The sequence below is a fragment of the Homo sapiens genome, chromosome 9 (genome assembly GCF_000001405.40).
Source record: "Homo sapiens chromosome 9, GRCh38.p14 Primary Assembly".
Lineage (NCBI taxonomy): Eukaryota > Metazoa > Chordata > Mammalia > Primates > Hominidae > Homo > Homo sapiens.
This window is the reverse complement of record NC_000009.12, coordinates 89,522,545-89,534,886: the sequence shown is the minus strand read 5'-3', so window position 1 is coordinate 89,534,886 and position 12,342 is coordinate 89,522,545. Positions and strand designations below refer to the sequence as shown.

The 12,342-nt window shown below is 48.2% G+C and overlaps 1 long non-coding RNA gene across 1 annotated transcript, besides 5 other annotated features; it reads right to left on the bottom strand.

The window, feature by feature from the left end:
* Positions 2,464-2,633: an enhancer, noted in NCBI's record as "experimental_108657 CRE fragment used in MPRA reporter constructs". NCBI's record gives its function as "activates a minimal promoter by MPRAs in K562 erythroleukemia cells, with activity observed for both the introgressed and non-introgressed 9:92147254 variant alleles {active_cell/tissue: K562}" and the evidence as "EXISTENCE:reporter gene assay evidence [ECO:0000049][PMID:34662402]".
* Positions 2,464-2,635: a biological region, named in NCBI's record as "Neanderthal introgressed variant-containing enhancers experimental_108656 and experimental_108657".
* Positions 2,466-2,635: an enhancer, noted in NCBI's record as "experimental_108656 CRE fragment used in MPRA reporter constructs". NCBI's record gives its function as "activates a minimal promoter by MPRAs in K562 erythroleukemia cells, with activity observed for both the introgressed and non-introgressed 9:92147252 variant alleles {active_cell/tissue: K562}" and the evidence as "EXISTENCE:reporter gene assay evidence [ECO:0000049][PMID:34662402]".
* LOC105376137 (uncharacterized) lies at positions 3,425-10,790 on the bottom strand. Its single transcript, XR_930102.3, has 3 exons — positions 8,397-10,790; positions 7,863-7,995; positions 3,425-7,055 (listed from the first exon to the last, which is right to left on the bottom strand). It is a non-coding gene; the product is annotated as an uncharacterized LOC105376137 (long non-coding RNA).
* Positions 11,757-11,866: an enhancer, noted in NCBI's record as "active region_28549". NCBI's record gives its function as "activates an Ori minimal core promoter by ATAC-STARR-seq in GM12878 lymphoblastoid cells {active_cell/tissue: GM12878}" and the evidence as "EXISTENCE:reporter gene assay evidence [ECO:0000049][PMID:35858748]".
* Positions 12,007-12,086: an enhancer, noted in NCBI's record as "active region_28548". NCBI's record gives its function as "activates an Ori minimal core promoter by ATAC-STARR-seq in GM12878 lymphoblastoid cells {active_cell/tissue: GM12878}" and the evidence as "EXISTENCE:reporter gene assay evidence [ECO:0000049][PMID:35858748]".

Sequence of the window (12,342 nt, the reverse complement as noted above, 5' to 3'; positions counted from 1 at the left end):
GTCCTTTTTAGTGCTGTCCATTTCAGCTGTCATAAATTATGACCTGAGCTAACGCATGCAAAGTTATTAGGTTACCATGTGTTCATATATGTCCTGTGTGAGCCGGAGCCATCCAGCCCCCACAACACAGACACCCCCACACCCTCATCTGCAGGCAGGACTGGCTCTCCGCCCCCTGCTGTCAGCATCTCAGCTCCTTCCGCAGACTCTGGTGCAAGCAAGCAGCTTAATTATTTACAACAGGAGATTCCCGAAAGAGCCATCAATCCTTCCATGGAAAACCTCCACAGACGGCTGGCCCCTGGGAGGCTGCGCATCCCTCACCTCAACTCTTCACCTGGCTGCCCCATCAGCCCAGACAGTGACCCCGTCCTCGCTAAGCCCCACCTCAAATCAGACATAAGGCCCTCATGGACTCTGCCCTTGCTGCCCCCACCCCACATACTCTGGGCCCCCCTTCCCACATGAGCAGGAAACGCAGCTTTTAGTATCCTGGCAGTGGAGGGTGGAGTGGGGGCAAGATCTGGGGTCTGGCATTCGACCCCTGGATGGAAATCATGAGTGATTCTGATTATTCCTCTATGAGTTTCTTATTTTCTAACTGACAAATATTATTTTTAAAATTATTAAACTACAATGGATAAACATTACTTTATTAATCATAAGACCATCACCTGATGAAAATTAGGCAAGAAAAGGAAATTGAGTTCTGAAAACCATTCGAGAAGAGAGCTAAAAAACAGAGACCAATCTAGCTATCACATCAAAAATAGGACCCAGTTAACTGGTAGAAGGCATTTCTGACAAGCAGCAATGAACGCACAGTGCACAGGGGGTCACATGGCAGCTGGTAAGAATCTCACTGGACTGGGTCACTCCCAAGGCCCACGCTGTCCTCCAAGGCAATTTACATTCCTCTCCATCATCAGCCATGTGGATTTTTCATTAAAACAATGGCTGCTGTTCCTGGATGACCTGTTACAAACCATAATCAATCAACCTCCTCCCTAATGTCACAAACTGCCACCGCATTACACACTCCAGGAGAGATGCCAGGTTTGACTGGCACAGCTCCGGGCAAAGCTATCTGCTTGGCCCAGGAGAATCCTCTCCAGCCCTGCTTGACCCTCTCCTCAAGCCCATCCTTCCCAGCACAGAGCCACAGACACTGAATCAGAGGGACATCAGCCTGCAGCATGCTGTCCCAGACTCCGTGTCTTGCCAACCACCTGAAATATCACCACGATTTTGACTGTCACCATGGCAACTGGAAAGTTCCAGGGAAGTTGGCCCGAAGGCATCTCCCAGGATGCACCCCCAGCCTCCTGATGTGCAGCGCTGTCTCCTATGTCTGTTCAGGCTGAGGACTTGGTGCAGGGCTGAGGATGCCTATGCTGGAGTCCACCAGCCTCGTGGGAAGCAGCGTGCCCTCCTGCTGTGAAGCTGTGGGTGAGTTTCCCTAGGGGTGAAGACTAGATAATGTCCCTATGTCAGGAGTGAGGAGCATGCCTGAGAGACTACAAGAAAGGCTTTGTATTAGTTGGGGTTCTGGAGGGACAGAATCAATAGGATATATGTATATATATATATGGGAGTTTATTAGGGAGAATTGGCTCACACAGTTACAAAGGCCAAGTCCCACGCTGGGCCATCTGCAGGCTGGGTTATGAAAAAAGTCAGTCCAAGTCTGAAGGGCTCAAAACCAGGGAAGCCAACAGTGCAGCCCCCAGTCCTAGGTCAAAGGTCTGAGAGCAACCAGGAGGCTGCTGATGCAAATCCCAGAGTCCAAAGGCCAAAGAACCTGGAGTCTGATGTCCAAGGACAGGAAGAGAAAAAGCCTCCTGCTCAAGAAGAGGGAGAGAGAGAGAGAGAGAGAGGGAGAGTGCTGGATATCCATCCTCCTTCCACCTGCCTTGTCCACCTGTTCACCCCCAGCTGACAGAAGGGCGCCCGTCCACATTGAGAGGGGGTCTTCCTCTCAGTCCTCTGACTCACAGACACACCCAGAAACTGCTTCACCAGCCATCCAGGCATCCCTCAATCCAGTCAAATTGACCCCTTTTAACCATCACAGCCTTCATGCCATCATTGTGAACTGCTGGGCCTGGAGCCATAGTCCGCCCAACACCAGGGTGACTCCATCCCTATGCAGTATGGTGAGGGACAGGGCTACCTGGAAGTGATAAAGCAGCTCTCATCAAACAGGAACTATTGACTCACTGGCACTCCCAGAGCCTTTCAAGCCAGAGAGCCGACGGTGGCAATGACAGAGTGTGGACTGCACCCAGCACTTATGAAGGGGCTGTTGTGTGCTGAACAGAAACCTTGGTCAGGAATTCCAATTATAAATGGCAACCTTTGTCACTAGCATCATTACAAGCCATCCTTGTTCCACTGGAGTTCTCGTTGCACATGGAGCTGGGCAGCTGCATTCCCCTGCACAACACAAGAGGCAGGTGGGCCAAGACCCCAGCCACTCAGCTGGAAGATTCTCTCCCATCTTGCATATTGCCACATGGATAGCTCAGAGAGGTGGCATTGTCCTTCCCATTCTGCAGACTACAAAACTAAGTCTCAGAGAGCTCAGGCAGCTCTCAGGTCACTAGATAGCAGAACTCAGATTCAAAGCCCTTGTCATTAGTGTTGTTGAATAAAATACGGACAGCCTAGTTAAATTTGCATTTCAGATAAACAGCAAATAAACTTTAGTATAACTATATCCCCAATATTGCATAGGAGAATATTTTTGTTGGCTAAGCCTGGCAACCCTGTTGCAACTGATGTGTGCTCTCATCACACGGAAAGCAGGTGGCCACTCATAGGCTAGGATGCCCATGCTGGTTGCTGGCTGGGGCTGAGCCATGGAGATGTGGAGGCCCCAAATCCTGGCCATTTTCAGGCCATCTGCACCACCGTGGAAAATCTGCCGGCTCTGGGAGAGATGGTGCTTAGCAGAGAGGCTGTGAGCCTGCCACATGAATGGCCACCCCTTCTGGGCACCAGGTCCTGCTGTACTCCAAGTGGGGACCATGGAAGCAGTTCACGATCCCTGCAAGGACTCCAGGCCCCAGAGGGATGCAGGCTGACTCTCACCACTCAGGAACAGTGCTGTTCTCATAGCTAAATTGGAGGATGATTCTTCTTCTGACTCAAGTCTGGTCCAAGCATGTTCACACACCTAAGCCCACCATGTCCAGCAGAAAGCATGACCCCAGAGATAAATGGGATTGAACCCCTGGCTCTGTGTGCACCCCTTTTTGTCTTTCAGGCCCTGACAGTAGAAGCTTCCTGGACCCATGAGGGAAGGATGGCACCCAGCTAGGAGCAGAGATTCACCCAGGGGCCCCCAGAGTTGCTTTTCTTGTTTCATGGATTCCTGGTTCAGTTCTATTCCTGGCAGGATAAAGTGTTTTTTCCTTTGGTGTTTTTTTTTTTTTTTTTTTGAGATGGAGTCTTGCTCAGTCACCCAGGCTGGAGTGCAATGGTGCGATCTCAGCTCACTGCAACCTCTGCTCCTGGGTTCAAGCCATTCTCCTGTCTTAGCCTCCTGAGTAGCTGGGATTACAGGCACCTGCCATCAAGCCCAGCTAATTTTTTGTATTTTTTTAGAGACGGGGTTTCATCATGTTTAGGAGGTTGGTCAGAGTGGTGGGAGAAACTATAGGGAAAGGAGCAGGCCTTCTGAAAGGTCAGAAGGCTCTGCATAGTTTCGGGGGAGAATAGCTGAAGACAGCTGTTCTCTAACCCTGAGGCAGAGGGCAAGGAGTAGGTACAAGGGATTGTAGGGAAATTTATCTTAAACAGGCTTGTTTACTTATGTTGGCCAGGAGCTGACCTGTGATCATCCGCCATAAGTTCCATAAGTTCCCTGAAAGGGGAACAATAAATGTTAATTACCCACAGATTGTGTATTGCTTCAGGCTTTTAGCATTGTGCCTGCACTCAATAAAAGCAAGCAGCTCCAGCTTCTCGAGGATGCTGTACTTTGGCCACTAGAGCCTGGAAGTCCCCTAGCTGCTCTTCCACTGCATACCTGTGTCTGAGTACCCCGTTCATCCGTCGATTGGCCAGGGTCTGTGGGACAGACCCGGCAAGCATATTGGCTATGCTGGTCTTGAACTCCTGACCTCAGGTGATCTGCCTGCCTCAGCCTCCCAAAGTGCTGGGATTACAGGCATGAGCCACTGTGCCCGGCCCAGATAAAGTCTTTAAGAGCAGTTATTGGAAGTTTTTCATTGTGTTGCCTGCTAATGAGAAAACTTCCATTCCACAAAGACCTCCAAGCATAGAGATTAGTAGACAAAAAGCTAACTCTCCAGGACAATCTGTTCGGCACAGAAAAGTGCATAGAGCTGGCTTTCAGGGCCAGTGATACAGGAATGGCCTCACCGGCTGCTTCTCAAGCACTATGTGACTGTAGCTGCCCTCAACCTGTGCTCTGGAGGAGGTGATAAAGGGCAGTTGTCTCTGTGGACCAGCAAGAAATTAGACAGTTATCCACCTGGTCATTCAACCTAACACCTGAGACAGAATAGTCACCCAAACAGGGCATCTCATTTTCTGAACTACATCACTGTTAATTGTAAAAAGTCAATATACATATATCTATGCAAATTTATTATATACACATAACTACTGTATGTATTATACACATTACAAAACATACACCAAAACTTTTAAAAGATAAGATAAACCTGAAAGACTATTTCCAAATGTTCTGCTAAAAATGCTAGCTTAACTATTTACAATAGCCAAGAGATGAAATCAACCTGTGTCCATCAAGGACACATAGGATAGAGAAAACATGGTGCATATCCACAATGGGATGCTATTCAGTCATGAAAAAAGAATGAGATCCTGTCATTTGCAGCAACATGGATGAGCCTGGAGGATGTTATATAAAGCAAAATAAGCCAGGCACAGAAAGGGAAATACTGCATGATCTCACTTATATGTGGGAGTTAAAGAGCTCATAGAAGTGGAGAGTAGAATTGTGGTTACCAGAGGACAGGAAGGCTAGCGGGGAGAGGAGGATGGGGAGATGTTGGTTAACGGGTACAAAGATACAGTTAAAAGGAAGAATAAGCTCTGGTGTCTGCTGCACAGTAGGGTAACTGTAGCTAACAATAAGTTCTTGTATATCTCCAAATAGCTAGAAGAGAGGCATTGTGAATGTTCCCACCACAAAGAAGTAATGAAGTTGTAATGGTTATGCTAATTACCCTGATTTGATCATTACACAATATATACATGTAATGAAACATCACATTGTATCCCATAAATACATACAACTATTATGTGTCAATTAAAATTAAAAAATAAGTTTTTTTTAAAAATGCTGGCTTAATACTGCATTAGCTAACACTCCATGAGCAGCATACCCAGGGCATGGTTTGTGTTGACAATGCTGGTGTCAGTCTCTCTTTCAAACAGTTTCTTGCTCTTGTCATGTGCGTGGGGCTCCAGTGAGATCTACAGTGTCGGCTCTGCCATTGTCTCATTGCCAGAGAAATGATTAATAGAATCTTTATTCTGCCATCTCTTGGCAGGAGTATTATTAAGCTATCTGTCCCTTACATGATGGGGAGAGTAGTCACAGGGCTTGGGAAAAACAGGGGCTGCCGGAGGGCAGGTGCACACTCAGTATCAGCACAGGGCAGGGTTCCTGGTTTTTAGAGAGAAAATGAAAATGCTGACATTTTCTCCTGTGCACCACCCCCAAACCCGGGAATCACGAACCCTTCACTTGGGAGTCCTTGGACACAGCAGGTAGCAGGTACCTGAATCTCCAAAGCCTAGAGGATGACCCACTCAGATATGAGTGCAGTCTAAAGGAGCAGCCTCTTTCTCCTTCCACATGATACCTGAGAGTGAGACCCACCATCCCCATCACAAATACACCATTGGTTTCTGCTCCAGCTCCCTGGAGATGAGGGAAGGATCAATTCCCGAATCACTCAGCAGTCTGTGGGCTTGCTGTCCTGGTTATCTCTGTGCTGGGCTCCTGATTCTGCAATACCATCTCTGGCCTTCACTGAGCAGCCCTGAGGCTCACTCTGTCACCGTGTCCACAGATGTCCACCACAGCCTTGCTGACCTCTGCAACCCTCCTTGTGACTCCTCTCCCTGTGTGACTTCACTCGGTATACAAAAGCCTGCATCACCGCTCCCGTTAAGAGCAGCTGAGCCTGTTCTTCACTTTGTTTATTTTGCTTAAACCTTTCCGTTTCCATGCCCCACCCTGAGATTCAGATCAAGGTGTTTTTCTATTGTGACTTCCCTATGGTAGCCAGCCTCTCCCTCTTCATGTTCTGTGTAGTCCTGTCCCACATTGAATAGGGCTGACCAGTGTCATCAACAGACATCACAAACATGATTGTGCCTGACTTCCAAGGCTAGCTCATAAAACATTGAGTCTTCTGCCTTGCTCTCTCTGGGATTCCTCACTCTGGAGGAAGCCAGTTGCCATGCCATAAGGACGCTCAAGCAGCCCGGCAGAGAGGTCTGCATGCCTCCCACACACAAGCAGCACCAACTGCCCAGCTGTATGAGGAACTGCTTGGGAGGTGGAACCTCCAGCCCCATTCATACCTTTAGATGAGACAGCGGCCCCAACCGCTCAGCTAATTGCTTTCAAATTCCTGACCCACAGCAACTGCGAGAGATCAGAAATGCTTATTGTTTATGATTCTAAGTTTTGGAATAGTTTGTTATGCAGACACATTGAAGAATTCTGACTACCCAATTAAGAGAATGAAAAGTGCGTATGGCAACATACATCCATAACTGCACACACTTATGCACAGATATTTGAATCAGATTATACTAAACCGTATATACTATTGAAGGTATACTAGCTGCTGCTGTAATAACCAAATCCTAGCCTCCACAGCTAAACAAAATAAAAGTTTACCTCTTGTGCGTATCTCCATCCATGTGGGCGCTCCTGTTTGGGTGATTCACCTCCCAGCAGGGATTCCTGGACCCACTCACTGGGCAGCTCCACATCTTCAATGGTGACTCTCTTCAATTCAATGGGCAGATGGCAAAAGAGACTGTGGGAGTCACATCCACTTCTTAATCCTCTGGACCAGAAGTGACACTCACCCCATCCACTCATGTTCCATTGGTGAGAACCAGACACTTGGTCCTCCCTAGATCACAGTCCATGGGTGCTGAGGAATGGGGTCCTGGCTGGGAGCCACTCCCAGCAATAAGTCAATGCTGTAGAATCTTTTGTAGTTAGCTACCCATCCCTTCTATGTTCTGATTCATTTGCCTTTTATTAATTAAAAATATATTCTGGATATATTATGGATAGCCTTTAAGATGGTCACCTCCCCCATGATCCCTGCCTCCTAATATGCACTCCGTTGCATAATATCTTCCCCTGGAACACAGACTTGCTTCTAACCCATAGAAAGTGACAAAGATGATGGGATGTACATGATTATGCTCCATAAGATGATCACATCAGTCTTGTTAGGAGACACACTCCCTAGCTAGCTTGGAGGAAGCAAGTGGCCACATAAAGAGGGCCCCTGTGACAAAGAGTTGAGGGCAGCCTCTGGCCAACAGCCAGCAGGAAATAAGGCCCTCAGTCCCACAGCACACAAGGAACTGAATGTTGCTGACAACTATGTGAGTGAGGAAGCAGGTCCTTCCTCATTCGAGCCTCAAATGTGACTGCAGCCCCAGCCCACACCTTGGTTGTGGAGGACCAGCTAAGCTGTACCTGGACTCCTGACCCACAGAAACCGTGAGACAATAAATGCTGGTTGTTTCAAGTTGCTTAGCTTACAGTTATATTGTTAGCCTTTGATTACTAATTTAGGCATCTTCCCATATCTGGGCATACTTACCTACTTCTCTTTAAAGCTACATGTATCCCAGTGTGGCTGGGCCATGCTGTATTTAACTTGGGACATGCAGATGGCCTTCTTTATTTTCTACCATTGTATACAGCATGCAGGCACATTCGTGGATCTTGCACTCCTGTAAATATAGAAATGACTCATAAATGTTCTCAGCTAATGGGACTGCACCTGTAAAATTGTGACACACCTATTGCCAAATTGTCCCCCAAAAGGAATATCATGGCGATAGGTTGAGTTTTAACCAGAAAAAAATGCTGAGCAGAACATTCCAGTTGGAGGAGAGTGACTGGGCCCCGACAGATGCCTGGAAAGACCCAGGGCCCCTCTGGGAGAAGGAACCACTCAGGCTGCCTCAGAGAGAGAGCAAAGAGGAGGGAAAGGGCCTAAATGGTTTCACTCAGGAGCCCTTGAAAACAGGGTGAGAAGTTGGAAAATAAAAGTGGGGGCTGTGACGGACTGGTGAATGATTTCCTCAAAGTTGGAAAATTAAGAGTTGATGCCTTTGCCCCTCACTCTCACCAGGTGCAGATCCCCGTCCCTGGAGCTGGTAATGAGGGTAGAAGCTCTCCACTGGACCTTCTGATTTGTTTTCCTCTTATGCTCTCTCTGGGGGAATCATCTGGGTATAGGAAAATGAAATTATTGGGTCAAAAATCATATAAACTTTGAGTAGCACATCCATACAAATATATTCAAGGAGTTTCGTGGAAGGCTTTGGAATCTCAAAATTCCAGTTTTTCTTCTTGGTTAAATCCTCCCACGAAGTCAGCCAGTCCTGGGTCGTGGACTTTGAAACTCAGGGCAAACCAGCAGCATTGGAAGCAGGCTCTCTGCTCCTGCCCTTGTGCTTCCTACCCCAGCTGGGTGAGGCGCTGCCTGGGGCTCCGGGCCTGGCTGGTCCTCTTCGCCGTGCGCCCCGCTTTGCCCTCCCCACTGCACAGCCGGAGGACCTGCTGTCTTGCCATCTCTTCCATGTCCTCTCCTCTTCCTCATGATTCGTGAAGTCATGAACACTGAGAAATGGAAGAAATGGTTAAATCTTTGGAACCAACTACTTCCGCTTTTGTCTTTGTCTCCTCAGAAATTACAGATAACAATTCATAAGGCAAATGTGTCATTAAAGGAAATGGCCACAGGAACCCAAACCGCTGTGAACTCAAGTCACCAGTCACACTCACACTGTCTGGGGCTTAATGGCCCCACTTTCCACAGGGACGTTCACACCTAAGCTTTGAAGTCACCTCTCCACCTGGACAAATGGGAAGGCGCCTGTTTGTCCACCACCCTGTGCTGTGGAAGGCGTGTTCAGAGCAGGCCTTCTGAAGAGAGTCATTTTTCAAAAACACAAGCGACAGTTTGCGCCTCCAGCAGCGCTCCTCCTCCAGTCTTCACACCTGCATCCCCTATCTTCTCCACTTTCCGGTGTCTCTCATGGCTTTCTCCTTCCATCTGTCCTTAGCCTTCTTGTCAGTCTCCCTACAGCAGCGAAACCCGGGCTCAGAGGGAAGGCACTGAATTTTAGGAGGCTCCGGCGTTTTCCCCCCAAGGCAAAAAGACAGCCTAGCTTCCTGGATGCATCCCAGCCTTTTGCTGATGTTAAGGGGATTGCTTGAGTCTTCAATATCTTAAAACTTCAGTAGCTGGAGTGGAGATTTTGGGGACACGAGTGGAAAAGCCAAACACACAGCAGCAGCGCATGTCACACATGCAGTCAGAGTTGGATGGTCAGACCCTGAATCCCACTCAAATGAGGCTGTCTTTCTCTAGTGACTCCAGGTAACCATGGAGACATCAGCAACCCAATCAGCCTGAGCTCTTCCATTCCCAGAATGAATCTGACCCTGCCAGAGTCTCCATCAGACCAGGCGGAGCTCATCCAGGCTTTCTCTCAGGGGGCTGCAGCCGAGACTGAGGCCGGGCAGGGCCATCTCAGTGACCTCTTCACTCACAGGTCCAGCCCCAGGCGGTGGGGACAGGACAGCTGAGCCAGCTCCCACTCTCTCTCTCCTATATCTCTCTCCCTCTCTCCTACATCTCTCTCCCTCTGTGTGTCTCTCTTTTCTCTTTGTGTGTGTCTGTCTCTGTCTTTCTCTTTTTCTATCTCTTTCTGTCTCTTTCTGCCTCACTCTGTATCTCTCTGTCTCTTACTCTCACTCTTTCCTTTCTCTGTGTCTCTATCTCTGTTTCTCTCTCTCTCCCCTCTCTCTTCTCTCTCTCCAACTCTGTCTCTCCTTTCTCTCTGTGTGTATCTCTGTTTCCCTGTCTCTCTTCTCTCTCCTCCTCTCTGTCTCTCTCTTCTCCCTCTCTCTGTCTCTCTCTCTCTGGGTCTGTCTGTCTCTCTCTCCTCTGTCTGTCTGTCTGTCTCTTTCTCTCTGGTCTTTCCATGTGGTTTCTCCACTTGGAGTCCTCTGAATTCTGACTTTTTATATGGAGGCTCCCAGAGCAAGTGTTCCAAGGGCATTGGACACAGAAGTGTGGCCTCTTTTATCTGAGCCTCAGAACTCACACAAAGGTCCATCTGGGTTCAAGGACAGGAACACAGGCTGCACTTCTTGGCCAGAGGACTATTAAAGAATTTGCAAACATGTTTTAGAAGCACCACGCTGCCCACCCTCCCAGCGAGCCTGAGGAGTAGTGGGGGTCCCCAGAGAGGAGGTATCTTTCTGAGACCCAAGATGTTGACTGTCCAAAAGCCTCCCTACCCTTTGCTCTTGGCTGACACGGGAAGACCCTCAGCCCAGGATGCAGCCCAGAAGGAAAGGGCAGAATAAGCTGCTTCCCCAAATCCTTCCTTCTAGCACACCTCCCTCTGCAACCCACAGAGCCCAATGGGCCGCTTTCAACCTCCTCCTATCTGTCTGTCTGGGACCTATGTGGAGGTGACACCCTCCAGCTGTCCTTCCTGTCTCTGCTGACAGATGAGATCATCAGTGAAAGGAATGAAAACATGGGCTTAGGTTGGTTGAAAAGGAATAAATATGTCTGTGTAAAGTATCACTTAGGCTGATTTTTGTAAAAATATTTCCATAAAAGTGATTTTGGCAACAAATATGAGAACGCCCATCTCAGAGGGGCTTCAATAATTGTGACACTTACGGATGCCACAGAAGTGGCCTGGACATGGAAAGTCAGAGCTGGCGCCATTGCTCAATGATGTCCTCCAAGCCAGGCATGGCCTGCCCTTCAGTTTTCACTCTCAGCACAAGAGCTTTAGGGCCATACACTGCTTACCTCCTGGTTACAAAATAGCTATGAGAGCTCCAGGCATCACGTGAGCATCCCAAACCAGAAGGAAGCCATAGGGAAAAAGACCTGGAGGCTTCAGCTGACTTCTGTTTACCTCTCCACGTGCAGAATAGGGTTCTGTGCCACCCCATAACAATCGGTAGCAAAGGGAAGGGGGTTGCTACAGCTAAATAGCTTAAACCAAAGGGACTGCAGGACGCCTAGTTTCTCTGAGATCAAGGGCTCTTTGCCTGCAACTTTAATGCAAAATTGGATTCTTTTGGCAGGAAAGGAAATGAGGAAATTCCATTAAATAGGAAAAGGACAGTGTCTTCCATGAGTATAATCAGGGGATTCCAGATGTTAGACTGGCTTCCTATTTCAGGCAAGGTCTGTGTTTGGAATTCTAAATAAAGTCAAGTCACAATTATCTCTGGAATTAGACAAAGAAAGAGCATGAATAAATGACCAGTAAAGCTAATTGTACCCCAACATTCCAACCCCTTATCCCATTATTCCATTGGCATCCCCATCTCTTATTATATATTTTTTTGAAATCTAATAACAAAGAAAAATGATCTGATGAATATCTACCCAGGAGCTACTCAACAGAATCCTGCTGAGTCACTGACCACCTCCATGTCCTCACCTGCTATCATGCTAGAGTGAGGATGATCAGGTGGATGGACCCAAGGCCAGCAGCAGGACAAGGAGTGAGCCAGCCAGGGCCTGAGTGATTGACTAGCTACGCTAAGAGCTCCAGCAGTTCAGGGAAGTAGTTCCAGTCACTGCAGGTGGTCAAAAATTTTCCTCACTGAGTCTACGAGTTTCACAGGTCTTGGATTTCTTTTGACATTGGGGAGAATTGCACATCATCCATAGGCTGCAGACTTTCTTCCTTTCCTTGCGTGACCATCCTGTGAAAGCTTGCTGGCCTGCACTTGTGTTTCACAGCACTTCTCAGATGGCCCTGTGGTGAGGTATTTGTGTCCATGCCCTGCTAAACGCTGAGCCCCTGGGAAGGGCCTGCACACATCAGTGTGCTCCACACACTGGACATGAATGGGACACACGTCTACCCCTCTGAAGCTGCTCCGTTAACTGGCTCGAAGCCTGCAGACTTTGTTTCCAAGCCATAGGGTTTTACTCCTGGTGCAGGATGAGTAGTTCTTGCAGGCCTCTGACTCTTCTACAAAGAGGAAGTGCCTAAGCTGGGGCAAAGGCAAACCACTTCCTGCAC